The following is a 23,782-nucleotide window of genomic DNA, read 5'->3' on the forward strand; positions in this document are numbered from 1 at the left end:
AACATTCTGTGTAAAGGGCCACGTAACTAAGATTTTCAGTACTGTGGGTCACAGTCTCTGTCACAACTACTCAACCTTGCCATTGTAGGGTGAAAGCAGTCATAGACAATATGTAAATAAATGGGCATGGCTGTGTGCCAATAAAACTTTATTATAAAAACAAGTGGGCTGGGCACCGTGGCTCATTCCTATAATCCCAGCACTTTGAGAGGCTGAGGCAGCTGGATCACCTGAGGTCAGGAGTTCGAGACCAGCCCGGCCAACATGGTGAAACCCCATCTCTACTAAAAATACAAAAACTAGATGGGCATGGTTGCAGGCGCCTGTAATCTGGCTGGCTTTGCAATTATTCCTCCAGCTACCCTGTGGGGAGTGGATTCGGGGTGGGGATGGGAACCGACAGGAGAGGCAGCAGGGAGGATGCCATCAAGCTTGTCTAGTTAAGCTGGGACCAGCGCACTCCACACCCAGGTAGGTCCCTGTCTCGACAGAGCCCCTGAGGACGGACATCGTTACCTTCTCCGTGGGCTGCTGCAGGATGGGGAGGTTCTCCTCCAACTTGTCCAGCCCCCTGTGGGCGTATTCGCTGGCTGATGCAACTGCCAACAACAATTAAGACGCAAATGTGACTGCTGGAAGGTCACCTAGTAATGGTTCAGGGGGACAGGACCAAGAGCTGGGTAGACCCCCCTACTCCCCACCCAGGGAAATGACCAGGAGGGGAATTCAGTGCCCCCTGGGACTTCACCCACTCTGGGGCTCCAGCTTGGAGAGGATCGGCTGAGCCCCGCTGACAGCAGCCGCCGTGAGGGTCCTCACTCCCTTCTCTGCTGCGTCGCAGACAGTCTTGATGTGCGGGTAGCTCTCCTTGGTGGAGGCATAGGCTGCGGACACCATGTCGCAGGTGGAGCTGATCAGAGGCATGCTGGCCACACGGTCCACCACACTGGGCTACAGGAGAGAAGTGGCTCAGGCAAACTGGGTGGGGGAAGATGGGGAGCTCAGCCGGAAACTCAGGGTGCCCTGCAGTTTTGCTCTTACTCCTGGCCAGTGAAACGGCTCAGTTTACCCACACTTTGCATCCAGGCAGTTGCACAAGCCAGGAACCTTGGGGTTTCGCCACGTGCTTCCTTTATTTTTATTTTATTTTTGAAACGGAGTCTTGCACTGTTGCCCGGGCTGGAGTGCACTGATGCGATCTCAGCTCACTGCAACCTCCACCTCCCAGGTTCAAACGATTCTCCTGCCTCATCCTCCTGAGTAGCTGGGATTACGGGTGCCACCACGCCCAGCTAATTTTTTTGTATTTTTAGTAGAGATGGGGTTTCACCATGTTGGCCAGGCTGGTCTTGAACTCCTGACCTCGTGATTCGCCCACCTCAGCCTCCCAAAGTGCTGGGATTACAGGCGTGAGCCACCGCACTCAGCCCACGTGCTTCCTTGAACACAGGCTATTTACATGAGCCTGCACTTTATCCCAGCGATGTGCCAGGTGGTGATAAGGGACAACAGTTCCATTCTCATGGCAGTTAGGGTCTAAACCGGGGGCTGTAGACCACAGCCCATGGGTCACAGCCAGCGCACCACTTGATTTTTAAATTTTAATTATTTTTGGGGCCAGGAGCAGTGGCTCACGCCTGTAATCCGAGCACTTTGGGAGACCGAGGCGGGTGGGTCACTTTGGGTCAGGAGTTTGAGACTAGCCTGGCCAACATGGTGAAACTCCGTCTCTACTAAAAATACAAAAATTAGCCGGGCGTGGTGGCACATGCCTGTTACCCCAGCTACTTGGGAGGCTGAGGCAGGAGAATTGCTTGAACCCAGGAGGCAGAGGTTGCAGTGAGCCAAGATGTCACCACTGCACTCCAGGCTGGGCGACACAGCAAGGTTCCATCTCAAAAATATATACATAAAATAAAATCACCTGAGGATGAGAGATCTGGAATAGAAACTGGCCTCCTAGGACGTCCCTGAGAGAGCCTTCAGAGGTGAGGATGATTTGGCTCAGGGGTTGGGGAGGGCAGGTAGTTTCAGACAGAACCCTGCTCCCTCAGGCCCTCCAAGGGCCTTTGAGATTCCCCCCTCCCAACTGGGGACACCAGTGAGTGGTCCATACCCCACTGAGGAATAAATCCCTCTGGCTCCGTGAGCTGCCGGCAGATCCCTGGCTCCCTGCCAGGGCACCCTGGGGTGGGAAGCCTCCTTGCACGGGAATCACAGGGTCGGGGCAGTCCCTGGTCCCGGCCCTTCCTCACCTGCTGTACCGGTTCTTCCACTGTCACCTGGGTGCTGCCATCAGCCTCTGCCCCGTCGGCAGACATGGTCTCTGCAGCAGACGCTGAGGAGAGAGGAACAGTCAGGTACAGCCTGCCTGGCCCCACCTTCCAGGAGAAAGTCCAGGCCCACGCTGCAGCTGGAAGACAGGGTTCACACCTGCCCATGACTTACAGCTGTGTCTTTCAGTCCTTAGCAGGCACAAGAGTGACCTCTGGACTTTGTTCAATAGCAAGTGCTGATTCTAAAGCTTCGGGATGGGGCTCACCTGGCCCCCTATTTCTTTTTTTTTTTCTTTATTTTCTTTGGAGACAGTCTCACTCTGTCGCCCAGGATGGAGTGCAGTGGGGCAACCTGGGCTCACTGCAACCTCCGCCTCCTGGTTTCAAGCAATTCTCCTGCCTTAGCCTCCCGAGTAGCTGGATTACAGGCACCCACCACCACGCCCAGCTAATTTTTGTATTTTTAGTAGAGACGGGGTTTCACCATATTGGCCTGGCTAGTCTTGAACTCCTGACCTTGTGTTCCACCCACCTTGGCCTCCCAAAGTGCTGGGATTACAGGTGTGAGCCACCACACCTGATCCTTTCTTTTTTTTTTTTCTCATTAAAGACAGGGTCTTGCTCTGTCACCCAGGCTGGAGTACAGTGGTACAATCACAGCTCACTGCAGCCTCTAACTCCTGGGCTTAAGGGATCCTCCTGCCTCAGCTTCCCAAGTAACTAGGACTATAGGCACACACCACCACGCCTACTTAATTTTTTCTTTTTGGGTAGAGATGTTATCTTTTTTTTTTTTTTTTGAGACAGAGTCTTGCTCTGTCGCCAGGCTGGAGTGCAGTGGCACGATCTCGGCTCACTGTAACCTCCACCTCCCACGTTCAAGCAATTCCCCTGCCTCAGCCTTCCCAGTAGCTGGGACTACAGGCGTGTGCCACTACACCTGGCCAATTTTTTGTATTTTTTTAGTAGAAACGGGTTTTCACCATGTTGGCCAGGATGGTCTTGATCTCCTGACCTCGTGATCCGCCCGCCTCGGCCTCCCAAAGTGCTGGGATTATAGGTGTGAGCCATTGTGCCTGGCCAATGGTATCTTGCTATGTTGCCCAGGCTGGTCTCGAATTCCTGGTCTCAAACAATCCTCTTGCCTTGGACTCCCAAAGTTCTGGGATTACAGGAGTGAGCCACCATGCCCGGCCCTGACCCTGCATTTCTAAAAGGCTCCCAGGCAGTGTTGATGCAGCTGGTCCCTGGGACACACGTCAGGAAGCAAGGCTTGGGAACAGTCCCTTCAGGGCTCACCTGTACTCCAGCAAGCCAGGTATGACCTAAAACCTCTGTAGAGGACAATTTGCCAATAGCTGTCAAGTTCCAAGAGCCATCTTCCCCTTGACCCAGAAACCTCACTTCGGGGAAGAACCCACACCTGTGTTTCCACATGAGCAGAGCTGTGTGGACTTACTGGCCACAACATGACACTGGAAACAACCTGGATGCCCAGCAAAAGGGGAATAAGAAAACAACAAGTGTGGCCAGACACAGTGGCTCACGCCTGTAATCCCAGCACTTTGGGAGGCCGAGGTGGGTGGAACACGAGGTCAGGAGTTCGAGTCCAGCCTGGCCAACATAGTGAAACCCCGTCTCTACTAAAAATACAAACATTAGCCAGGCATGATGGTGGGCGCCTGTAATCCCAGCTACTCAGGAGGCTGAGGCAGGAGAATCGCTTGAACCCAGGAGGCGGAGGTTGCAGTGAGGTGAGATCGCGCCACTGCACTCCAGCCTGGGCAACAGAGTGAGACTCCGTCTCAAAACACAAAAACAAAAATAAGTGTATCCCAATGCAGTGGCTAAAGAATGAGATTTAAAGGCCGGGTGCGGTGGCTCACGCCTGTAATCCCAGCACTTTGGGAGGCCAAGGCGGGTGGATCACCTGAGGTCAGGAGTTCGAGACCAGCCTGACCAACATGGAGAAACCCCATCTCTACTAAAAATATAAAATTAGCCAGGCATGGTGGCGAATGCCTGTAATCCCAGCTATTCAGGAGGCTGAGGCAGGAGAGTTACTTGAACCCGGGAAGCGGAAGTTGCAGTGAGCCGAGATCGCGCCGCTGCACTCCAGCCTGGGCAACAGGAGCGAAACTCTGTCTCAAAAAAAAAAAAAAAAGAGATTTAAATGTAACTCACATGGGCCAGATGTGGTGGGTCACACCTCTAATCCCAGCACTTTGGGAGGCCGAGGCAGGAGGATCACCTGAGGTCAGGAGGTGGAGACCAGCCTGGCCAACATGGCAAAACCCCGTCTCTACTAAAAATACAAAAATTAGCCAGGCGTGGTGGTGCACGCCTCCATGTTTAGTTATCCCAGCTACTCAGGAGGCTGAGGCAGGAGAATCGCTTGAACCCAGGAGGTGGAGGTTGCAGTGACCTGGTATTGCACCACTGCACTCCAGCCTGGGTGACAGAGCGAGACTCCATCTCAAAAAAAAAAAAAAGAAAACAAAACAAAACAAACAAAAGACTAAATGTAACTGACATGACATGAACAAAGATCTAGTCAAGGGATAAAATGTGTTAAATAGGGCAAACTTTCTTCTCTTTCTTGAGACGGATTTCCGCTCTGTCGCCCAGGCTGCAGTGTAGTGGTGCGATCTTGGCTCACTGCAACCTCTGTCTCCTACGCTCAAGCAATTCTCCCACCTTGACCCTGCAAGTAGCTGGGACTACAGGCACGCACCACCACACCTGGCTAGTGTGTGTGTGTGTGTGTGTGTGTGTGTGTGTGTGTGTGTGTGTGTGTGTGTGGTTTTGTTTTTTTTTTTTGGACAGGGAGTCTTGCTCTGTCATCCAGGCTGGGGTGCAGTGGCGTGATTTCGGCTCACTGTAACCTCCGCCTTCTGGGTTCAAGCGATTCTCCTGCCTCAGCCTCCTGAGTAGCTGGGATTACAGGTGTGCACCACGTCTGGCTAATTTTTTGTATTTTTAGTAGAGATGGGGTTTCACTATGTTGGTCAGGCTGGTCTTGAACACCTGACCTCGTGATCCACCCGCCTCAGCCTCCCAAAGTGCTGGGATTACAGGATGAGTCACTGCACTCAGCCGTGGTTTGTTTTTTTTTTTGTTGTTGTTGTTGTTTTGTTTGTTTGTTTTTTAGTAGATGGGGTTTTGCCATGTTGCCCAGGTTGGTCTTGAACTCCTGAGCTCAAGGGATCTGCCCACCTTGGCCTCCCAAACTGCTAGGATTACAGCTGTGAGCCACCGCACCCAGCCAAAATTTAGGCTTTTTTTAAAAAGTGAGATAACATGCCTGCCTGCACCGCAGAGCTATGAAGTCCAGGTCAGGGGTGTGGGGAGGACGGGGTTCCCCAGGTGAGTCTATGTAAGCGGGATGAAGCCACAACTCCCTTTTCCTGGACTAGTGAAATGAAGCTGGGACACCATCATCAGAAGAGATTCTCAGGGGGAAGCCAGGAGTCCCAGCTCCACCTACGCTATGCTCCCTGGAGCAAGGCGCCTTCCCCTCCTCTGGCCTCGGTCATCTTACCTGTAATATGAGGCTAAAGGGTCGGGCATGGTGGCTCACACCTGTAATCCCAGCACGCTGGGAGGCTGAGGTGGGTGGATCATGAGGTCAGGAGTTCAAGAGCAGCCTGGCCAACATACTGAAACACTGTCTCTACTAAAAATACAAAAATTAGGTGCGGGTGTGGTGGCGGGCGCCTGTAGTCCCAGCTACTTGGGAGACTGAGGCAGGGGAATTGCTTCAACCTGGGAGGCGGAGGTTGCAGTAAGCCAAGACTGCGCCACTACACTCCAGCCTGGGTGACAGAGGAAGACTCCATCTCAAAGAAAAAAGAAAAAGCCAGGCATGGTAGCTCACGCCTGTAATCCCAGCACTTTGGGAGGCTGAGGCGGGCAGATCACCTAAGGTCGGGAGTTTGAGACCAGCCTGACCAACATGGTGAAACCCCATCTCTACTAAAAATACAAAAATTAGCCGTGTATTTTGGCTGACACCTGTAGTCCCAGCTACACAGGAGGCTGAGGCAGGAGAATTGCTTGAACCTGGGAGGTGGAGGTTGCAGTGAGTCGAGATCGCACCACTGCACTCCAGCCCGGGTGACAGAGGGAGACTCCGTTTCAAAAAAAAAAAAACATGGGGCTAAAGGTCATGCCTGTCTTATGGGCTGCTTTCCTGGGGAATTCTGGTGTGAGCCTAAGAACCTGTGGCCTTGAGTCTGAGCATCTTTTCCCAGAGGAATGAGGCCCCACCTCCTGGTGGCCTTGCTTCGATGTCCCCTAAGCAGAACCCAGCAAAATGATGATGTTTTGCAAGCACTAGATCTGGAGTCCAGATTGGGTTCTTTCCATTTTTTTTTTTTTGTTTTTTTTTTTGAGACGGAGTCTCGCCCTGTCGCCCACGCTGGAGTGCAGTGGCGCGATCTCAGCTCACTGCAAGCTCTGCCTCCCCGGTTCACGCCATTCTCCTGCCTCAGCCTCCCGAGTAGCTGGGACCACAGGCGCCCGCCACCACGCCTGGCTAATTGTTTGTATTTTTAGTAGAGATGGGATTTCACCATGTTAGCCAGGATCGTCTCGATCTCCTGACCTCATGATCCGCCCGCCTCGGCCTCCGAAAATGCTGGGATTACAGGCGTGAGCCACCATGCCCGGCCTTTTTTTTTTTTTGAGACAGAGTCTTGCTCTGTCGCCCAGGCTGGAATGCAGTGGCGTGATCTCAGTTCAGTGTAACCTCCATCTCCCAGGTTCAAGCGATTCTCCTGCCTCAGCCTCCAGAGTATCTGGGAATACAGGTGCCCGCCACCACGTCCGGCTAATTTTTATATTTTTAGTAGAGGTGGGGTTTCACCATGTTGGCCAGGCTGTTCTCCAACTCCTGACCTCAAATGATCCGCCCACCTCAGCCTCCCAAAGTGCTGGGATTATAGGCGTGAGTCATCCTGCCCAGCCCAGAATGGGTTCTAATCCCAGCTTGGCAACTCACTAGGAATAGGAGTTTGGGAAGGCAGCATCCCCTAGGAGTCTTGCTTGCCACATCTGTGAAATGTGTATAAGTGTTTCACAAGAGCCTGGAGTCCCTGTGGACTGGAGGAGACGCTGCTCCGGGGAAGCTCAGATCCGTGCCCGGCACATAGTAAGTGCTCCATAAACTATCTCACCGCACTCTGGCTTCCACGGACAAAGGGGTAAAGCCAGCCAGGAACCAGCTTCCTGCTAGGTACAAAAGTCCCCCAACTGGGAAGTCAGGTGAGAAGACATACCTACCTCCCAGTGATCATTGCCTAAATCTGTGCTTCTCCTCACCTCCTTTGGAGCCTGAGCTCACCTGGGCAGGGGGCCAGGTAGGCAGGCATCAAACTCCTGGCCTCGACCGATTCTCAAGTCCCACTTAGGACTCAGGCAGCTTCCTCCCGTCCCCTCTGTCCACCATGACTTCCTGGAACTGGTTTAAGCAAGGGTGGCCATGGCAGATGTCAACACCCTATGAAACCCCTGGGGGTCAGTGACCTGCCTTGCCGCTGGCTCCAGAAGGGGAGCTCCAGGCCAGACCCAGCCATCCAGCAACTTCAGAGCATGCTAAGACTGGACTTCCAAAATTCCAAGGGCCCCAGGTCCCACTGCCAGGCCTAGCCGGGACAAGAACCCCAAAGCAGTTAACGGATAGGCCTTCCTACTTTTAAGCCACCTCGTCGCCACGCCCACCCGAGGGAAGTGGGCAGGCTTTGCCCAAGACCTCCCCAGAATCAGTTGGGGGCGCCAGGAGCTGGGGCAACCCCCACCCCCACCCGTGGCAAAACCATCTGTAGGGGAGGGGGCTTTGCGGTGGCGGGGGGTGTCTCTGAAAACCCCAGAAGGGAGGGCGGAGATTCTGCCCGCAGGAGGAAACTTGCCTGCAAATGGCGTTTCCAAAAGCAAACTGTTCAAAATTTAGAGAAAACCTGGTGGGCGGGGGGCGGTATTTAGCCCACCCCCTTCAATATCACCCCTTCTACGGGGCTCTTTCGCCCCTCAAAAGTCCCAGGAAGTGAGAAGAGGGTTTCAAAGTCTGAGCTTCGTTGCAGAAGTTGGATTTTTCTGGGGGGAGGGGTGACCAGCCTGGGCTGAAGACCCCTCCCCAGGCCGCAGAGTCCAGCAAATCCCACCCCGAGAAAGGCCCTCCCCGACCCCTCCGGCCCCTGGGGTGCCCCAGGACTCCATGGACACCGCCCCCCAGCTCAACTGAGACGCCCCCGCCACTCACCGCGGTCAACCGGACGTCCCAGGAACAGCTGCCGCGACTTCAAAACCAGCTTGGAAACCGTCCGGGCCGAGGCGGGGGTGGCTTTTACTGCGTGGTAGGTTGGGGGCGCACTGGAGTGACGGGCGAGGGGACCAATCAGGTTGAGGGATTGCCCGCGCCAGGCCCGCCCCTCTCCTCCCTGCCCCGCCTCCACTAGGCCCCGCCCCTCGCCAAGTCATGAAGTCCGGGAAGGACTCCACGCCCTGCCCCTGAAGGGGAGGGAGCACTCTTGGACCACGCCTGTCCCAGCCACGGGACCCCCGCTCCGCAGCTGGGGACCCTGTGAAGTTGGCCCTGGGAGGTGAGTGCGATCGGGGGCGCCGCACAGGTGCTGGGATTCCCCAGGTCGCCCATTTCCCCTATGGCCAAACTGAGGCTGCGAGAACCCTGGGAGAGTTGCAGGGTGACCCTCGCCAGCGCGTCAGGGGCCACGCCCTCCACCATGGGCTCCGACTCAGCTATATGTACACACACACACACACACACACACACACACTTTTTTTTTTTTTTTGAGACACAGTCTCGCTCTGTCGCTAAGGCTGGAGTGCAGTGACGCGACCTTGGCTCACTGCAGCCTCCACCTCCTGGATTCAAGCGATTCTCCTGCCTCAGCCTCCTGAGTAGCTGGGATTACAGACACGTGCCACCACGCCCGGCTAATTTTTTGTATTTTTAGCAGAGACGGGGTTTCACCATGTTGGTCTTGAACTCCTGACCTCAAGTGATCTGCCCGCTTGGGCCTCCCAAATTGCTGGGATCACAGGTATGAGCCACCGCACCCGGCCCAACCCAGCTATATGAGTGACTTGAACCACCACGGGAACTTGTCCAGCCTCCGGCCTGATCTGCCCAACATCAGACCACTTCATCCTCCCAGCACTGTATTGTCTTTTTAATCATCCCTATTTTGCAGAGAAGGAAACTGAGGCCTGGAGAGGGTCAGCCAGGGGCAATGGAGGGGTCAGGCTCCAGGCTCTGTGACTGCTGGATCAACCTTTTCCTGAAGCTGCCCCCACTTGGATTTTACCCCGCCCCTCTCCACCTCCCAAATTATTTATCCTCTTGGTCTATAAACCAAGGTCTCAATCTCAGATGGTCCAGGGAGGAGGTGAATATTTCTGCTGAGGAGGTGGCAGTGATGCCCTGCTTAGAGGGGCAGGGGAGAGCAGTGCCCTATGGGAGACCCACCTGGAGAGTCACAGATCCACAGGAAGTTCAAGCTGTAGACATGTCCTGCCTGTTAGGGAACAATTGGACCAAATGAAACCCAACTGGGGCTTTGTCCAGCCCAGGGGCCACCAGTTTGCCACCTCTGCCAAATTATTTGAATAGAATGAAGCTTCTGGTAGCTTTAGAAAGAACATGGGAAAAATTGGGTGTCTGTGACTGCATTTTTTTGGGGGGGTGAGTGGGGACAGGGTCTATGCTAGCACTGTCCAATAGAACTTTCTGCAATTCTAGAATTGTGTGCCATCCAACATTGTAGCCAAAAGCACCACGTGGCTAATGCACAGTGAGAAGCTGAATGTTTAAATTTTTTTTTTTTTTTTGAGGCAGAGTCTCGCTCTGTCTCCCAGGCTGGAGTGCAATGGCGCGATCTCGACTCACTACAACCTCCACCTCCCGGGTTCAAGCGGTTCTCCTGCCTCAGCCTCCCAAGTAGCTGGGATTACAGGCGCGCGCCACCACACCCAGCTAATTTTTGTATTTTTAGTAGAGACGAGGACTAACCATATTGGCCAGGCTGGTCTCGAACTCCTGGCCTCAAGTGATCCACCTGCCTCGGCCTCCTAAAGTGCTGGGATTACAGGTGTGAGCTACCGCGCTTGGCCTGAATGTTTAAATTTAAGTAACTTCAGGCAGCTAGTGAGATTCTCAAGTGAATCTGAGACCCCATTCCATGACATTTGTAACAGGCTTTTTCCTTCTCATTCACTCATTCAACCATATTTATTGAGTCCTTGCGCTGGGGACAGCGGTGAGCTAAACAGATAAGAATTCCAGCCCTGGTGACACACACTACCCAGTGGGAGAGACGAACAAGGAACAACATAAGTGAGAGAACTTTACAATGTGTCACGTGGTAGGACAGCAAAGGACGAGATGAATGTGGGGGATGCGGGGATTTTGTTCTTGTTTTTTGTCAAAGAGTCTCACTCTGTCACCCAGGCTGGAGTGCAGTGGCACGATCTCGGCTCACTGCAACCTCCGCCTCCCAGGTTCAAGAAATTCTTGTTCCTCGACCTCCCAAGTGGCTGGGATTACAGGCCTGTGCCACCATGCCTGGCCAATTTTTGTATTTTTTTTTTTTTTAGTAGAGACGGGGCTTCACCATGTTGGCCAGGCTGGTCTCGAACTCCTGACCTCATGTGATCCACCAGCCCTGGCCTCTCAAGGTGCTGGGTTATAGGCATGAGCCACCACACCCGGTGGGGCCGCAGTTTTTAGTAGGGAGGTCAGAGGAGGCCTTTCTGAGTGACATCCAAGAAGAGAAGAGAGAGAGGCCAGGAGGGAACCATGTCCAGTTAGGGGGAACAGCATTCCAGGCAGCAGGCACAGTCCGTGCAAAGGCCCTGAGGCAGGACCACACCCTGCCTGTTAGAACAGTGAGGAGGCCCCAGTGGCTGGAGTACAGTGAGTGAGAGAGAGGGAGGAGGGGAGGGCTGGGATGGCTCAGAGAGGGGAAGTGACTCATCCAAGATTCAAGGTCAGTGGGAGATTTGCCTGTTAACCCTTAACTTCTTAGTGGCCTTGAGTAACAAAATAGCTCTGGTCTAGGGGATGAGCCCTGGTGATTTTGCCCCACACCGTTTTTTGTTGTTTTTTTTTTTTGAGACAGAGTCATCTCCCAGGCTTTTGGTTCTTCTTGATGGCAACATCTGCCCAGGAGTCCCCGCCTGGCCTCCCACAGCCCTAGGGTGAGAGGTAAGAAATAGCTACTGTTGGCTGGGCGCAGTGGCTCACGCCTATAATCCCAGCACTTTGGGAGGCCGAGGTGGGCGGATCACCTGAGGTCGGGAGTTTGAGACCAGCCTGACCAACATGGAGAAACCCCGTCCCTACTAAAAATACAAAATTAGCCAGGTGCGGTGGCGCATGCCTGTAATCCCAGCTAGTCAGGAGGCTGAGGCAGGAGAATCACTTGAACCTGGGAGGCAGATGTTGCAGTGAGCCAGATTGTGCCATTGCACTCCAGCCTGGGCAACAAGAGTGAAACTCTGTTTCAAAAAAAAAAAAAAAGAAAAGAAAAGAAAAAAAGAAATAGCTACTGTTGGCCGGTGGCTCACACCGGTAATCCCAGCACTTTGGGAAGCCAAGGCGGACAGATCACTTGAGCTCAGGAGTTCAAGACCAGCCTGGCCAATATGGCAAAATCCTGTCTCTACCAAAAATACAAAATTAACCGGGTATGGTGACGCATGCCTGTAATCCCAGCTTCTCCACAGGCTGAGGTGGAAGGATCGCTTGAGACTGGAGGGGTGGAGGTTGCAGTGAGCCAAGATTGCACCACTGCACTGCAGCCTGGGTAGCAGAGCAAGACCCTGTCTCAAAACCAAAAATGAGATAGCTGCTGTTTTCTGGGCTATTTCATTACATTATTCAGCAGCCTGATTCCCATTTTCTTTTATTATTTATTTATTTATTTATTTTCGAGATGGAGTTCTGCTCTGTCGCCCAGGCTAGAGTGTAGCCGTACGATCTCGGCTCACTGCAACCTCTGCCTCCCGGTTTCCAGCAATTCTCTGCCTCAGCCTCCCAAGTAGCTGGGATTACAGGAGCCCACCACCACGCCTGGCTAATTTTTTGAATTTTTAGTAGAGATGGGGTTTCACCATGTTGGCCAGGCTGATCTTGAACTCCTGACCTCGAGATCCACCCGCCTCTGCCTCCCAAAGTGTTGGGATTACAGGCGTGAGCCACAGCACGTGGCGCTATTTATTTATTTACTTCTTCTTATTATTATTATTTGAGTCGGAGTCTTGCTCTGTCACCCAGGCTGGAGTGCAGTGGCGCGATCTCAGCTTACTGAAAGCTCCGCCTCCCGGGTTCACGCCATTCTCCTGCCTCAGCCTCCCGAGTAGCTGGGACTACAGGCGCGTGCCACCACACCCAGCTAATTTTTGTATTTTTAGTAGAGATGAGGTTTCTCCATGTTGACCAGGCTGCTCTCAAACTCCTGACCTAAAGTGATCCGCCCACCTCAGCCTGCCAAGGTAAACCAACTGTGATTTCTGTTTTCTGGATCAGGAAACTAAGGATCAGAGAGGCAGAGTAACTTGCCCCAGGTCACACAGCCAGAAATTGCCAGCCCCAGGGTTTGAACCTTGAGTTATGTGTCTTTAAGGTCTTTGGTTTCTGTTTGTTTTGGGGTTTTTTTGTTTTGTTTTGTTTTTGAGAGAGTCTCACTTCGTCTGGAAGTGAGGCTGGAGTGCAGCGGTGGGATCTCAGCTCACTGCAACCTCCGCTTTCCAGGTTCAAGCAATTCTCCTGCCTCAGCCTCCTGAGTAGCTGGGATTACAGGTATGCGCCACCACACCCGGCTAATTTTTGTATTTTTAGTACAGACAGGGTTTTGCCATGTGGGCCAGGCTGGTCTCGAACTCCTGACCTCAGGTGATCCACCCACCTCTGCCTCCCAAAGTGCTGGGATTACAGGCATGAGCCACTGCGCCCAGCAGGTCTTTGTTTTTGACATTTTCTACTCTTTCTCTTCTTTCCTTCCCTCTGCATCCCCTCCCAATTCTAGGACTCCTAATTCTTTCTTTTTTTTTTTTTTTTTTTTTTTTTTTTTTTTTGAGACGGAGTCTCGCTCTGTCACCCAGACTGGAGTGCGGTGGCTGGATCTCTGCTCACTGCAAGCTCTGCCTCCCGGGTTCACACCATTCTCCTGCCTTAGGCTCCCAAGTAGCTGGGACTACAGGCGCCCGCCACCAAGCCCGGCTAATTTTTTGTATTTTTAGTAGAGACAGGGTTTCACCATGTTAACCAGGATGGTCTCAATTTCCTGACCTCCTGATCCACCCGCCTTGGCCCCTCAAAGTGCTCGGATTACAGGTGTGAGCCACCGCGCCCAGCCAGGACGCCTAGTTCTTTCTCACTGAGAAGAGGGGAACGGCGGTGAGCATGCTGCCACAAGGTGGCACTGCTGGTCCCAGATGGGTCCCTGCCTGGCACAGGTGTTCCCTGTCTCTCCTCTGACCCTTCCTTCCCTCCATCCATCCATCCGTTTTTAAGCATGTCCTATTGAGTGTGAGCCAGGCCAGCGATTCACTGGATATGCAGTCATTCAACAAACAATAATTAAGCACCTGCTGTGTGCCAAGCCTGTGCTGGGCAGCCCTGGAGACAGACACAGGATGGCAGGATTGCATTAAGACTTCTGGGGCCAGCTATGGTGGCTCACACCTGTAATCCCAGCACTTTGGGAGGCCGAGGATGGTGGATCACCTGAGGTCAGGAGTTTAAGAACAGCCTGGCCAACGGACAGAAACCCTGTCTCTATTAAAAATACAAAATTAGCCAGGCATGGTGGCGCATGCCTGTAATCCCAGCTAGTTGGGAGGCTGAGGCAGGAGAATCGCTTGAACCCGGGATGGTGAGGTGAGAATTGCTTGAATCCTCTCTGAGCCATCCCTGTCCTCCCCTCCTCCCTCCCTCTCGCTCACTCTTTGCACTCCAGCCTGAGCGACAAAAACGAAACTCTGTCTCAAAAAAAAAAAAAAAGACTTTTGCGGCCAGGCACGGTGGCTCAGCTCTTTGGGAGGTTGAGGCCAGAGGATCACTGGAGGCCAGGAGTTCGAGACCAGCCAGGCCACATAGCAAGACCCCGTCTCTGCACAAACTTAAAAAATGTAGCCAGGCATGATGGTGCCTGCCTGGGGCATCGGCTACTTCGAAGGTTGAGGAGGGAGGATTGCTTGAGCCCAAGAGTTCTAGTCTGCAGTGAGCTGTGATAGCACCACTGCACTCCAGTCTGGGCGACAGAGCAAGACCCTGACTCAAAACAAAAAACAAACAAACAAAGGCTTTTGGGGCTGGGCACAGTGGCTCATGCCTATAATTCCCAGAAGATTGGGAGTCTGAGGCAGAAGAATTACTTGAAGCCAGGAGGTTCTGTTTTGTTTTGTTTTCTTTTCTTTTGAGATGGAGTGTGACCAGGTGGATAAAATAGAGGGTTATCAGGGCTGTGATAGGGTGCACAAGTGTGATGGAGCCTGGGGTAGGTGCTGGACCTAGGTGGGTGAGAGTAGTTCTGGAGGACTTTCAGGATGAGGTGATGTCTAAGCTGAGCCCTGAGAAGTGAACAGCGATCAGGCAGGTAAAGGCACCAAAAAGCTGTTTCAGGCCAAGGGAACAGAGAGTGCTAAGACACAGAATAAGACTGGAGCGTAGAATGTGGTGGGGGTGGCATCAGGGGAAAAAAGATGAAGCTGGACAGAGTGGCCAGGGTCAGGCTGCCAGATCTAAGGGCACTGGGGAGCCACAGTAGGTTCCAGAGCAGGAGCAGCAAGGGCAAGTTGGAACATTTGAAAGATCTCTTGGGCCACCCTGTGGATAATGATTCAAAGGGAATAAGACTGGAGGATGAGGAATGGGAGGAGGAAAGGAACCAAATGCTTCAGGTAACTCTGGAAGAAAAAGTAGGACATACGTGGTGGCAAGGCCAGATATGGTGGCTCACGCCTGCAATCCCAGCACTTTGAGAGGCGGAGGTGGGAGGATCGCTTGAGCCCAGGAGTTCGAGACCAACCTGGGCAACATAGTGAGACCCTGTCTCTGTTTTGTTTGTTCGTTTTAGAGAAAGAAAATAAAAAGAAAGGTGGTATTGGAGAGGGAACAGTACAGAAGGACGTTCCAGTCACAGTAGCATTCATTCATTCATTCGGGGAATATTTATTTTTATTTTTATTTATTTATTTTTTTGAGACGGAGTCTCACTCTGTCACCCATGCTGGAGTTGGAGTGCAGTGGTGCGATCTCGGCTCACTGCAAGCTCCGCCTCCTGGGTTCACGCCATTCTCCTGCCTCAGCCTCCAGAGTAGCTGGGACTACAGGCGCCCACCACCATGCCCAGCTAATTTTTTTTTTTTTTTTTTAATAGAGACGGGGTTTCACCGTGTTAGCCAGGATGGTCTCAATCTCCTGACCTCATGATCCGCCCGCCTTGGCCTCCCAAAGTGCTGGGATTACAGGCATGATCCACCACGCCTGGCCTATTTTTATTATTATTATTATTTATTACTTTTTTTTTTGAGATGGAGTCTCGCTCTGTCGCCCAAGCTGGAGTGCAGTGGCGCGATCTCAGCTCACTGCAACCTCCGCCTCCCGGGTTCAAGGGATTCTCCTGCCTCAGCCTCCTGAGTAGCCGGGATTACAGGCACGTGCCACCACACCCAGCCAATTTTTTGTATTTTTAGTAGAGACGGGGTTTCACCGTGTTAGCCAGGATGGTCTCAATCTCCTGACCTCATGATCCGCCCACCTCGGCCTCCCAAAGTGCTGGGATTACAGGCATGAGCCACTATAAATAAAAAGAGACTTATTATTGTTATTTTTTAAGACGAAGTCTAGCTCTGTCACCCAGGCTGGAGTACAATGGCACGATCTTGGGTCACTGTAGCCCCCGCCTCCTGGGTTCAAGGGATTCTCCTGCCTCGGCCTGCTGAGCAGCTGGCGTTACAGGTGCATGTGACCATGCCCGGCTAATTTTTATATTTTAAATTTTTTTTAAGTTTTGTTTATTTATTTATTTGAGATTGAGTCTCATTCCATCACCTGAGCTGGAGTGCAGTGGCGCTATCTCAGCTCACTGCAACCTTCACCTCCTGGTTTCAAACGATTCTCCTGCCTTAGCCTCCCAAGTAGCTGGAATTATAGGCGCCCGCCAACATGCCCAGCCAATTTTTGTATTTTTAGTAGAGACGGGGTTTCACCATGTTGGCCAGGCTGGTCTCAAACTCCTGGCCTCAAGTGATCCACCCGCCTCGGCCTCCCACAGTGCTGGGATTACAGGCATGAGCCACCGCGCCTGGCCAGGGCCTGGTCTTTATCTTGGGAGCAATGGGCAGCAATGTTGGATTCAGAGCAGGGGAGGGCCCTCATCAGGCCTCTGGGGAAGGGAAGGGGCCTGTGAGATGCAGGGACTGGCAGGGGCCTGGGGGCTCTGGGAGGGCCAGTGGGAGGTGACGGTCCGCAGAGGGTCTGCAGGGGGTGCGGGCAGAGGAGAGAGAGACTGTAGACGGAAAGTGGACAGGTGAGGCTGACACAGGCCTCGGGTTGGGGGTTCCGGGGGCAGGGCCAACCTTGAGGCAGGGACCCAGCAGAGAAGCACGTTGGGGGATATGGATGAGGATGAGCTCAGCTTGCCTCTTCCAGAACCCCTGGCGTAAGGTTGCAGGGTTAGCAAATAAAAATACAGGACACCTGGTTAAATGCAAATCTCAGCTACACTTCTTTTTTTTTTTTTTTTTTTTTTTTTTTTTTACGGAGTCTCGCTCTGTCGCCCAGGCTGGAGTGCAGTGGCGTGATCTTGGCTCACTGCAAGCTCTGCCTCCCGGGTTCACGCCAATTCTCCTGCCTCAGCCTCCCAAGTAGCTGGGACTACAGACGCCCACCATGCCCGGCTAATTTTTTTTTGTATTTTTAGTAGAGATGGGGTTTCACCGTGTTAGCCAGGATGGTCTCGATCTCCTGACCTCATGATCTGCCTGCCTCGGCCTCCCAAAGTGTTGGGATTACAGGTGTGAGCCACTGCGCCCGGCCTTTGTTTTTCTTTTGAGACAGGGTCTTGCTCTGCTGCTCAGGCTGGAGTGCAGTGGTACAATCAGGGCTCACTGCAGCCTCGACATCCTGGACCTAAGCGATCCTCTTACCTCAGCCTCCCAAGTAGCTGGGAGTACAGGTGCATGCCACCACATCGGGCTAATTTTTGTATTTTTCATACAGGTGGGGGTCCCACCATGTTGCCCAGGCTGGTCTTAAACTCCTGGGCTCAAGTAATCCTCCCACCTTGGCCTCCCAAAGTGCTGGGATTACTAGTGTGAGCCACCACGCCTGGCCATGTGAATAATTTTTAGCGTAAGTATGTTCCAAATTATTTTGAGACATACTTATGCTAAACATTTTTCATTTAATGGAGTTCAGTGGCTCACGCCTATAATCCCGGTGCTTTCGGAGACAGAGGCAGGAAGATTGCTTGAGCCCAGGAGGTCAGGGCTGCCGTGAACTATGATGGCACCACTGTACTCCAGCCTGGGTGACAGAGCAAGACCTTGTCTCAAAATAATAATAATAATAATAATAATTCATTTTGGCCGGGCACAGTGGCTCACACCTGTAATCTCAGCATTTTGGGAGGCTGAGGTGGGCAGATCACTTGAGGTCAGGAGTTGGAGACCAGCCTTGCCAACATGGTGAAACCCCGTCTCTACTAAAAATACAAAAATCAGCTGGGTGTGGTGGCGTACGTTTGTAATCCCGGCTACTTCGGAGGCTGAGGCAGGAGAATCCCTTGAACCTGGGAGGCAGAGGTTCCTGTCAGCCAAGATCGCACCACCGCACTCCAGCCTGGGTGACAGAGGGAGAATCTGTCTCAAAAAATAATAATAATGGCCGGGTGCGACGGCTCACACCTGTCATCCCAGTACTTTGGGAGGCCGAGGGGGTGGAGTGGATCACCTGAGGTCAGGAGTTTGAGACCAGCCTGGCCAACATGGTGAAACCCCGTCTCTACTAAAAATACAAAAAATTAGCCGGATGTGGTGACATGTGCCTGTAATCTCTGCTGCTCAGGAAACTGAGGCAGGAGACTCACTTGAACCCAGGAGGCGGAGGTTGCAGTGAGCCAAGATCACGCCATTGCACTCCATCCTGGGCAACAAAAGCAAAACTCCGTCTCAAAATAAAAACAAAAACAAATACTAATAATAACAACAACAATAATTCGTTTAACTGCCTGTCTTGTAATTAACCTGGCAACTCAGCCAGACGTTGTCCACGTTGCCCCCCGCCACATTGTGGCTCCAGCGACCGGGTGGACACCTGACCAGCTGTGGCCCAACGGTGAGAAGGCAGAGGATTTTGTCTGGCAATTATTTGGGCTCGCTGCAGGAAGCCAGGGGTCTTTTAACATGCAGGCCCTGGCCTGTCCCCACCCCCAGGCCCTCATGGCGCCAGCTGCCCGCTGCCCCCTGCAAGGCGCTGGCGGGCGTGGGGGAGGGGAGCAGCTCTGAGACCCACTGTCCCCTCTCCTAGGCCAGGAGTGTCCTACTGGCTCGCATGCCCATCCGTGGAATGCCCGAGGGGACCCCGGGCCAGGCCTCCACCTGGCCATTGTCTCCTGCACCCTCCGTCCCTGGTGGCCCGTCCGGCTCTGAGCCAGACATTTACGACTTCTTGGGCCTCCCACAAGTCCTGCAGGCAGGCAGATTCCTTGTCCATGTCCGGGAAGGATGGAGGCCTGGGGCAGCTGCCTGGGAATCCGATCCCACGGGCCCCTGCAACTCCATTCCTTGGGGCCGCAGCCACCCCCACAGCCAATCCCTCCCTGGAGAACCGTGTCCAGGATGGCCAGGCCTGGCGGCTCTGGGCACGGCCCTCCCAGTGCCAGCTGCCAGGATGTGCCAGCCGCATTGGCGGGGAGAGAACAGGCCGTTCTTGGCTCTCCCGGCTGCCTCTTTGTTCCCTGGGCGGAGGTGGGGGGCTGTTGTCCTGGCAACCACCCCCTTTTCCCCAACACAGTCACACGAGGTGAAAACTGGGGGCGCCTCAGGCCTGGGGGTTCAGGTCAGGGAGGGTCCCCGGTCACCTAAGGTGGCCGAGGATCTCCCTCCTCCCCGCCAGCCCGGCTTCCTTGGAGTTCATATTTCCCGGACGACGAGGGAGGCCGGGTCACCCCCCGCACTTTTGGGGATTGGAATGTCGGAGGTGGTGGCAACAGGGGGTGGACGTTCCCAGCGGGGCAGGCACCGTGGTGGTGGCAGCTGCTAGTCCCCTGCCTGTCCCACGTCCCCCAAGTGGGAGGCCGCAGCTGGTGTGGGTGACTTTGGTTCCCGGGGCGGGGGAGGGTTATTTTGGGAGTAGGGACCAGGGAGAATGAGAGGCCCCTCCACGGGGGCAGGAAGTGGGGCGGCCCCAGCTGCATTCTCCCGTTGGCCCACCTGGCGTGGCGGGTACTGCTGCCGCTGCACAGGAAGTGTCCCCAACGCCCGCCTGTGTGGTCCACTGAGTCTAGGGCCTGGAAATGGGAGGCAGCTGGCAAGGAGGGGGCAGGGACCCGCTGGGGGTGCTGTACAGCAGATCAGAATCTTCCAGAAGAGTCCCGCTGGGGTAATGGTGGTGCCTATGGAGTGAGTGGTGACTTTGGTTCAGGCCATTTATATGCATTGGCTGGTTTAATCCAGTGTGTTCCGGAGGAAGATGCTAGGAATAAATCCCCCTTTTACACATGGGGAAACTGAGGCTCAGAAACAGAAGCGACTGGCCCAAAGTCATTCAGCAAATAAACAGCCGAGGCCAGGCGCGGTGGCTCAGACGCCTGTAATCCCAGCACTTCAGGAGGCCAAGGCGGGTGAATCACCTGAGGTCAGGAGTGTGAGACCAGCCTGGACCACACGGTGAAACCCTGTCTCTACTAAAAATATAAAAATCAGCCAGGTGTGGTGGCGGGTGCCTGTAATCCCAGCACTTCAGGAGGCTGAGGCCGGTGAATCACCTGAGGTCAGGGGTGTGAGACCAGCCTGGACAACACGGTGAAACCATGTATCTACTAAAAATACAAAAATCAGCCAGGTGTGGTGGCGGGTGCCTGTAATCCCAGCTACTTGGGAGGCCGAGGCATGAGAATTGCTTGAACCCAGGGCAGGGGTGGAGGTTGCGGTGAGCCAAGATGGCGCCACTGCATTCCAGCCTTGGCAAGACAGCAAGACTCTGTCCCAAAACAACAACAATAACAACAACAACACCAACAACAAAACAGCAGAGGCCGGGCGCCATGGCTCATGCTTATAATCCCAGCACTTTGGGAAGCTGAGGTGGGCAGATCGTTTGAGCCCAGGAGCTTGAGGTTGCAGTGAGCTATGATCGCGCCACTGCACTCCAGCCTGAGACTGGAGCGTGACTCCAACTCAAAACAAAATAATAATAATAATAATAATTAATAAACATCAGAAGTGGGATTCTCATGCATAGCATTTACTATCAGATATATTAACTCCACAGAGGCCTCCAAGTATATACTGTACAGTGTAGCTCTCAACCAGGGGTGAGTCTGTCCTTCAGGGCCCATGGGGTGATGTCTGGGGACATTTGTGGTTGTCATGACTGGGGGTTGCTCCTGATATGGAGGGGGTGGGGGCCGGGGATGCTGCTCAGCACTCTTCAGTACCCAGGATGGCCTTGCCGCAGAGAAGGAACCCACCCCTCATGTACAGTTATGCGCGGTGGCTCACGCCTGTAATCCCAGCACTTTGGGAGGCCGAGGCAGGCAGATCACTTGAGGTCAGGAGTTTGAGACCAGCCTGGCCAATATGGCGAAACCCTGTCTCTACTAAAAATATAAAAATTAGCCAGCCGTGGTGGCACGCGCCTGTAATCCCAGCCACTCAGGAGACCGAGCCAGGAGAATCGCTTGAACCTGGGAGATGGAGGTTGCAGTGAGCCGAGATCACACAACTGCACTCCACCCTTGTCGACAGAGTGAGACTCTGTCTCAAAAATACATACATACTATACATACATACATACATACATACATACATACATACATACATACATTTCCCATCCTGGGGTCGTTCATATCAGCCTAACTGTCAGAGTTTAGGCAAGCAGTGAGTATTCACAGTGGTTCACATCACCGGTTTGGTTGAACTGGTTTTGAGTCCTGGCTCTGCAGTGAGTTTGCTGTGTGACCTTGGGCAAATCAATGAACCTCTCTGATCCTCAGTTCCTGGGCATTGGTAGTGGTATCTTCCTCAGGGTTGCTGTCTGGACTACATGAGATGATGCAGGTAACTGGCTTAAGACAGTGTCATGCTCAAAGTGAGGGCCCAAGAAATGTGACCTAGATCACTATTGTTACTATTCAAGCCACAAACATTTCTTCCTTTTTTTTTTTTTGAGACAGAGTCTCGCTTTGTTGCCCAAGCCGGAGTGCAGAACCTCTGCCTCCTGGGTTCAAGCCATTCTCCTGCCTCAGCCTCCCAAGTAGCTGGGATTACAGACATGTACCACCACACCTGGCTAATTTTTGTTTTTGTTTTTGTTTTTCAATGTTTCCAGTTTCTTTTTTTTTTTATTATTATACTTTAAATTCTAGGGTACATGTGCACAACGTGCAGGTTTGTTACATATGTATACATGTGCCATGTTGGTGTGCTGCACCCATTAACTCGTCATTTACATTAGGTATACCTCCTAATGCTATCCCTCCCCCCTCCCCTCACCCCACGACAGGCCCGGGTGTGTGATGTTCCTCTTCCTGTGTCCACGTGTTCTCATTGTTCAATTCCCACCTATAATTTTTGTATTTTTAGTAGAAACGGGGTTTCACCATGTTGGCCAGGCTGTCCTGAACTCCCGACCTCAGGTGATCTGCCTGCCTCGGCTTCCCAAAGTGCTGGGATTACAGGCGTGAGCCACCTTGCCTGGCCTAGGAAATTTAAAATTAACATTTGTGGCCAGGTGTGGTGGCTCACACCTGTAATCCCAGCACTTTGGGAGGCCAAGATGGGAGCATCACTTGAGGTCAGGAGTTCAAAACCAGCCTGGACAACACAGTGAGACCCCCATCTCTATTTGAAAAAAATAAAATAAAAAATAAAATAAAATTACATTTGTGGCTCTCATGATCACTAGCATTGGCTTAGAGGAAGAAATAGACATGAATTGACTGAATGTGGTGGCTCTTGTCTGTAATCACAACAGTTTGGGAGGCTGAGGCAGGAGGATTGCTTGATCCCATGAGTTCAAGACTAGCCTGGGCAACATCGAAAGACCACATCTCTACAAGAAACTTTTCTTTTTTTTTTTGAGATGGAGTCTCGCTCTGTCACCCAGGCTGGCATGCAGTGGCACGATGTCGGCTCACTGCAACCTCCGCCTCCCAGGTTCAAGCAATTCTCCTGCCTCAGCCTCCCGAGTAGCTGGGACTACAGGTACCCACCACCATGCCCGGCTAATTTTTTGTATTTTTAGGAGAGACGGGATTTCACCATATTGGCCAGGCTGGTCTTGAACTCCTGACCTCGTGATCCGACAGCCTCGGCCACCCACAGTGCTGGGATTACAGGCGTGAGCCACCGCACCCGGCCATACAAGAAAAATTTAAAAAGAAGTAGATGCTGGGTGCCGTGGCTTACGCCTGTAATCCCAGCACTTTGGGAGGCAGAGGCGGAGGGATTATGAGGTCAGGAGTTCGAGACCAGCCTGGCCAATATGGTGAAACCCCGTCTCTACAAAAGATACAAAAATTAGCCAGGCGTGGTGGTGGGTGCCTGTAATCCCAGCTACTCAGGAGGCTGAGGCAGGAGAATCACTTGAACTGGGGAGGCAGAGGTTGCAGTGAGCCAAGAGCGAGCCACTGCATTCCACCCTGGGTGACAGAGCGAGACTCTGTCTCAAAACAAAAAAAAAGAGAGAGAGAGAGACATGAATCCGGTGGGGCGCAATGGCTTATGCCTGTAATCACAGCACTTTGGGAGGCCGAGGTGAGCAGATCACTTGAAGTCAGAAGGTTGAGACCAGCCTGGCCAACATGGCGAAACCCTGTCTCTACTGAAAATACAAAAATTAGGCGGGCATGGTGGCATCCACCTGTAATCCCAGCTACTCAGAAGACTGAGGCAGGAGAATCACTTGAACCCGGGAGGCGGAGGTTGCAGTGAGCCGAGATTGCGGCACTGCACTCTAGCCTGGGTAACAGAGCGAAACTCCATCTCAAAAAAAAACAAAAATGCAATTGTGGCTGGCGGCAGTGGCTCACACCTGTAATCCCAGCACTTTGGGAGGCTGAAGCGGGCGGATCACTTGAGGTCAGGAGTTTGAGACCAGCCTGGCTAATGTGGTGAAACGCCGTCTCTACCAAAAAATACAAAAATTAGCCAGGCAAGGTGGCTTGCACCTGTAATCCTAGCTACTAGCTACTAGGGAGGCTGAGGTGTGAGGACTGGATTGCTTGAACCTGGGGGGCGGAGGTTACAGTGAGCCAAGA

At 53.0% G+C, this 23,782-nt stretch overlaps 1 protein-coding gene across 3 annotated transcripts in view, besides 10 other annotated features; it reads right to left on the reverse strand.

The window, feature by feature from the left end:
* The window catches only part of PLIN3 (perilipin 3), a 29,327-nt gene extending 20,733 nt beyond the window's left edge, over positions 1-8,594 (reverse strand). For all 3 annotated transcript variants that reach the window (NM_001164194.2, NM_001164189.2, NM_005817.5), the window contains exons 1-4: positions 8,536-8,594; positions 2,256-2,338; positions 753-951; positions 517-599 (exon numbers count right to left, since the gene is read on the reverse strand). In NM_001164194.2, the coding sequence (NP_001157666.1) occupies positions 517-599; positions 753-951; positions 2,256-2,321 (348 nt within the window). In that variant the 5' untranslated portion in view covers positions 2,322-2,338; positions 8,536-8,594. The remainder of the gene's footprint in view (positions 1-516; positions 600-752; positions 952-2,255; positions 2,339-8,535) is intronic.
* Positions 7,562-7,911: an enhancer, noted in NCBI's record as "active region_13786". NCBI's record gives its function as "activates an Ori minimal core promoter by ATAC-STARR-seq in GM12878 lymphoblastoid cells {active_cell/tissue: GM12878}" and the evidence as "EXISTENCE:reporter gene assay evidence [ECO:0000049][PMID:35858748]".
* Positions 7,562-8,354: a biological region, named in NCBI's record as "H3K4me1 hESC enhancer GRCh37_chr19:4866939-4867439".
* Positions 7,854-8,354: an enhancer, noted in NCBI's record as "H3K4me1 hESC enhancer chr19:4866939-4867439 (GRCh37/hg19 assembly coordinates)". NCBI's record gives its function as "activates a minimal SCP1, AML or CMV promoter by ChIP-STARR-seq in primed H9 embryonic stem cells {active_cell/tissue: H9 hESC(primed)}" and the evidence as "EXISTENCE:reporter gene assay evidence [ECO:0000049][PMID:30033119]".
* Positions 8,572-8,751: a silencer, noted in NCBI's record as "silent region_9909". NCBI's record gives its function as "represses an Ori minimal core promoter by ATAC-STARR-seq in GM12878 lymphoblastoid cells {active_cell/tissue: GM12878}" and the evidence as "EXISTENCE:reporter gene assay evidence [ECO:0000049][PMID:35858748]".
* Positions 11,008-11,494: a transcriptional cis regulatory region, noted in NCBI's record as "candidate enhancer chr19.1096 targeted for multiplex CRISPR interference". NCBI's record gives its function as "positively regulates PLIN3 gene expression with high confidence in K562 cells {active_cell/tissue: K562}" and the evidence as "EXISTENCE:mutant phenotype evidence [ECO:0000015][PMID:30612741]".
* Positions 11,175-11,339: a silencer, noted in NCBI's record as "fragment chr19:4870260-4870424 (GRCh37/hg19 assembly coordinates)". NCBI's record gives its function as "represses an EF-1alpha promoter that drives an FKBP-Casp9 reporter gene in an ReSE screen in HepG2 liver carcinoma cells {active_cell/tissue: HepG2}" and the evidence as "EXISTENCE:reporter gene assay evidence [ECO:0000049][PMID:32094911]".
* Positions 11,216-11,295: a silencer, noted in NCBI's record as "silent region_9910". NCBI's record gives its function as "represses an Ori minimal core promoter by ATAC-STARR-seq in GM12878 lymphoblastoid cells {active_cell/tissue: GM12878}" and the evidence as "EXISTENCE:reporter gene assay evidence [ECO:0000049][PMID:35858748]".
* Positions 18,478-19,361: an enhancer, noted in NCBI's record as "H3K27ac-H3K4me1 hESC enhancer chr19:4877563-4878446 (GRCh37/hg19 assembly coordinates)". NCBI's record gives its function as "activates a minimal SCP1, AML or CMV promoter by ChIP-STARR-seq in naive H9 embryonic stem cells {active_cell/tissue: H9 hESC(naive)}" and the evidence as "EXISTENCE:reporter gene assay evidence [ECO:0000049][PMID:30033119]".
* Positions 19,362-20,243: an enhancer, noted in NCBI's record as "H3K27ac-H3K4me1 hESC enhancer chr19:4878447-4879328 (GRCh37/hg19 assembly coordinates)". NCBI's record gives its function as "activates a minimal SCP1, AML or CMV promoter by ChIP-STARR-seq in naive H9 embryonic stem cells {active_cell/tissue: H9 hESC(naive)}" and the evidence as "EXISTENCE:reporter gene assay evidence [ECO:0000049][PMID:30033119]".
* Positions 19,656-19,835: a silencer, noted in NCBI's record as "silent region_9911". NCBI's record gives its function as "represses an Ori minimal core promoter by ATAC-STARR-seq in GM12878 lymphoblastoid cells {active_cell/tissue: GM12878}" and the evidence as "EXISTENCE:reporter gene assay evidence [ECO:0000049][PMID:35858748]".

This window comes from Homo sapiens, chromosome 19 (assembly GCF_000001405.40).
Source record: "Homo sapiens chromosome 19, GRCh38.p14 Primary Assembly".
In the NCBI taxonomy this organism is placed as follows: Eukaryota; Metazoa; Chordata; class Mammalia; order Primates; family Hominidae; genus Homo; species Homo sapiens.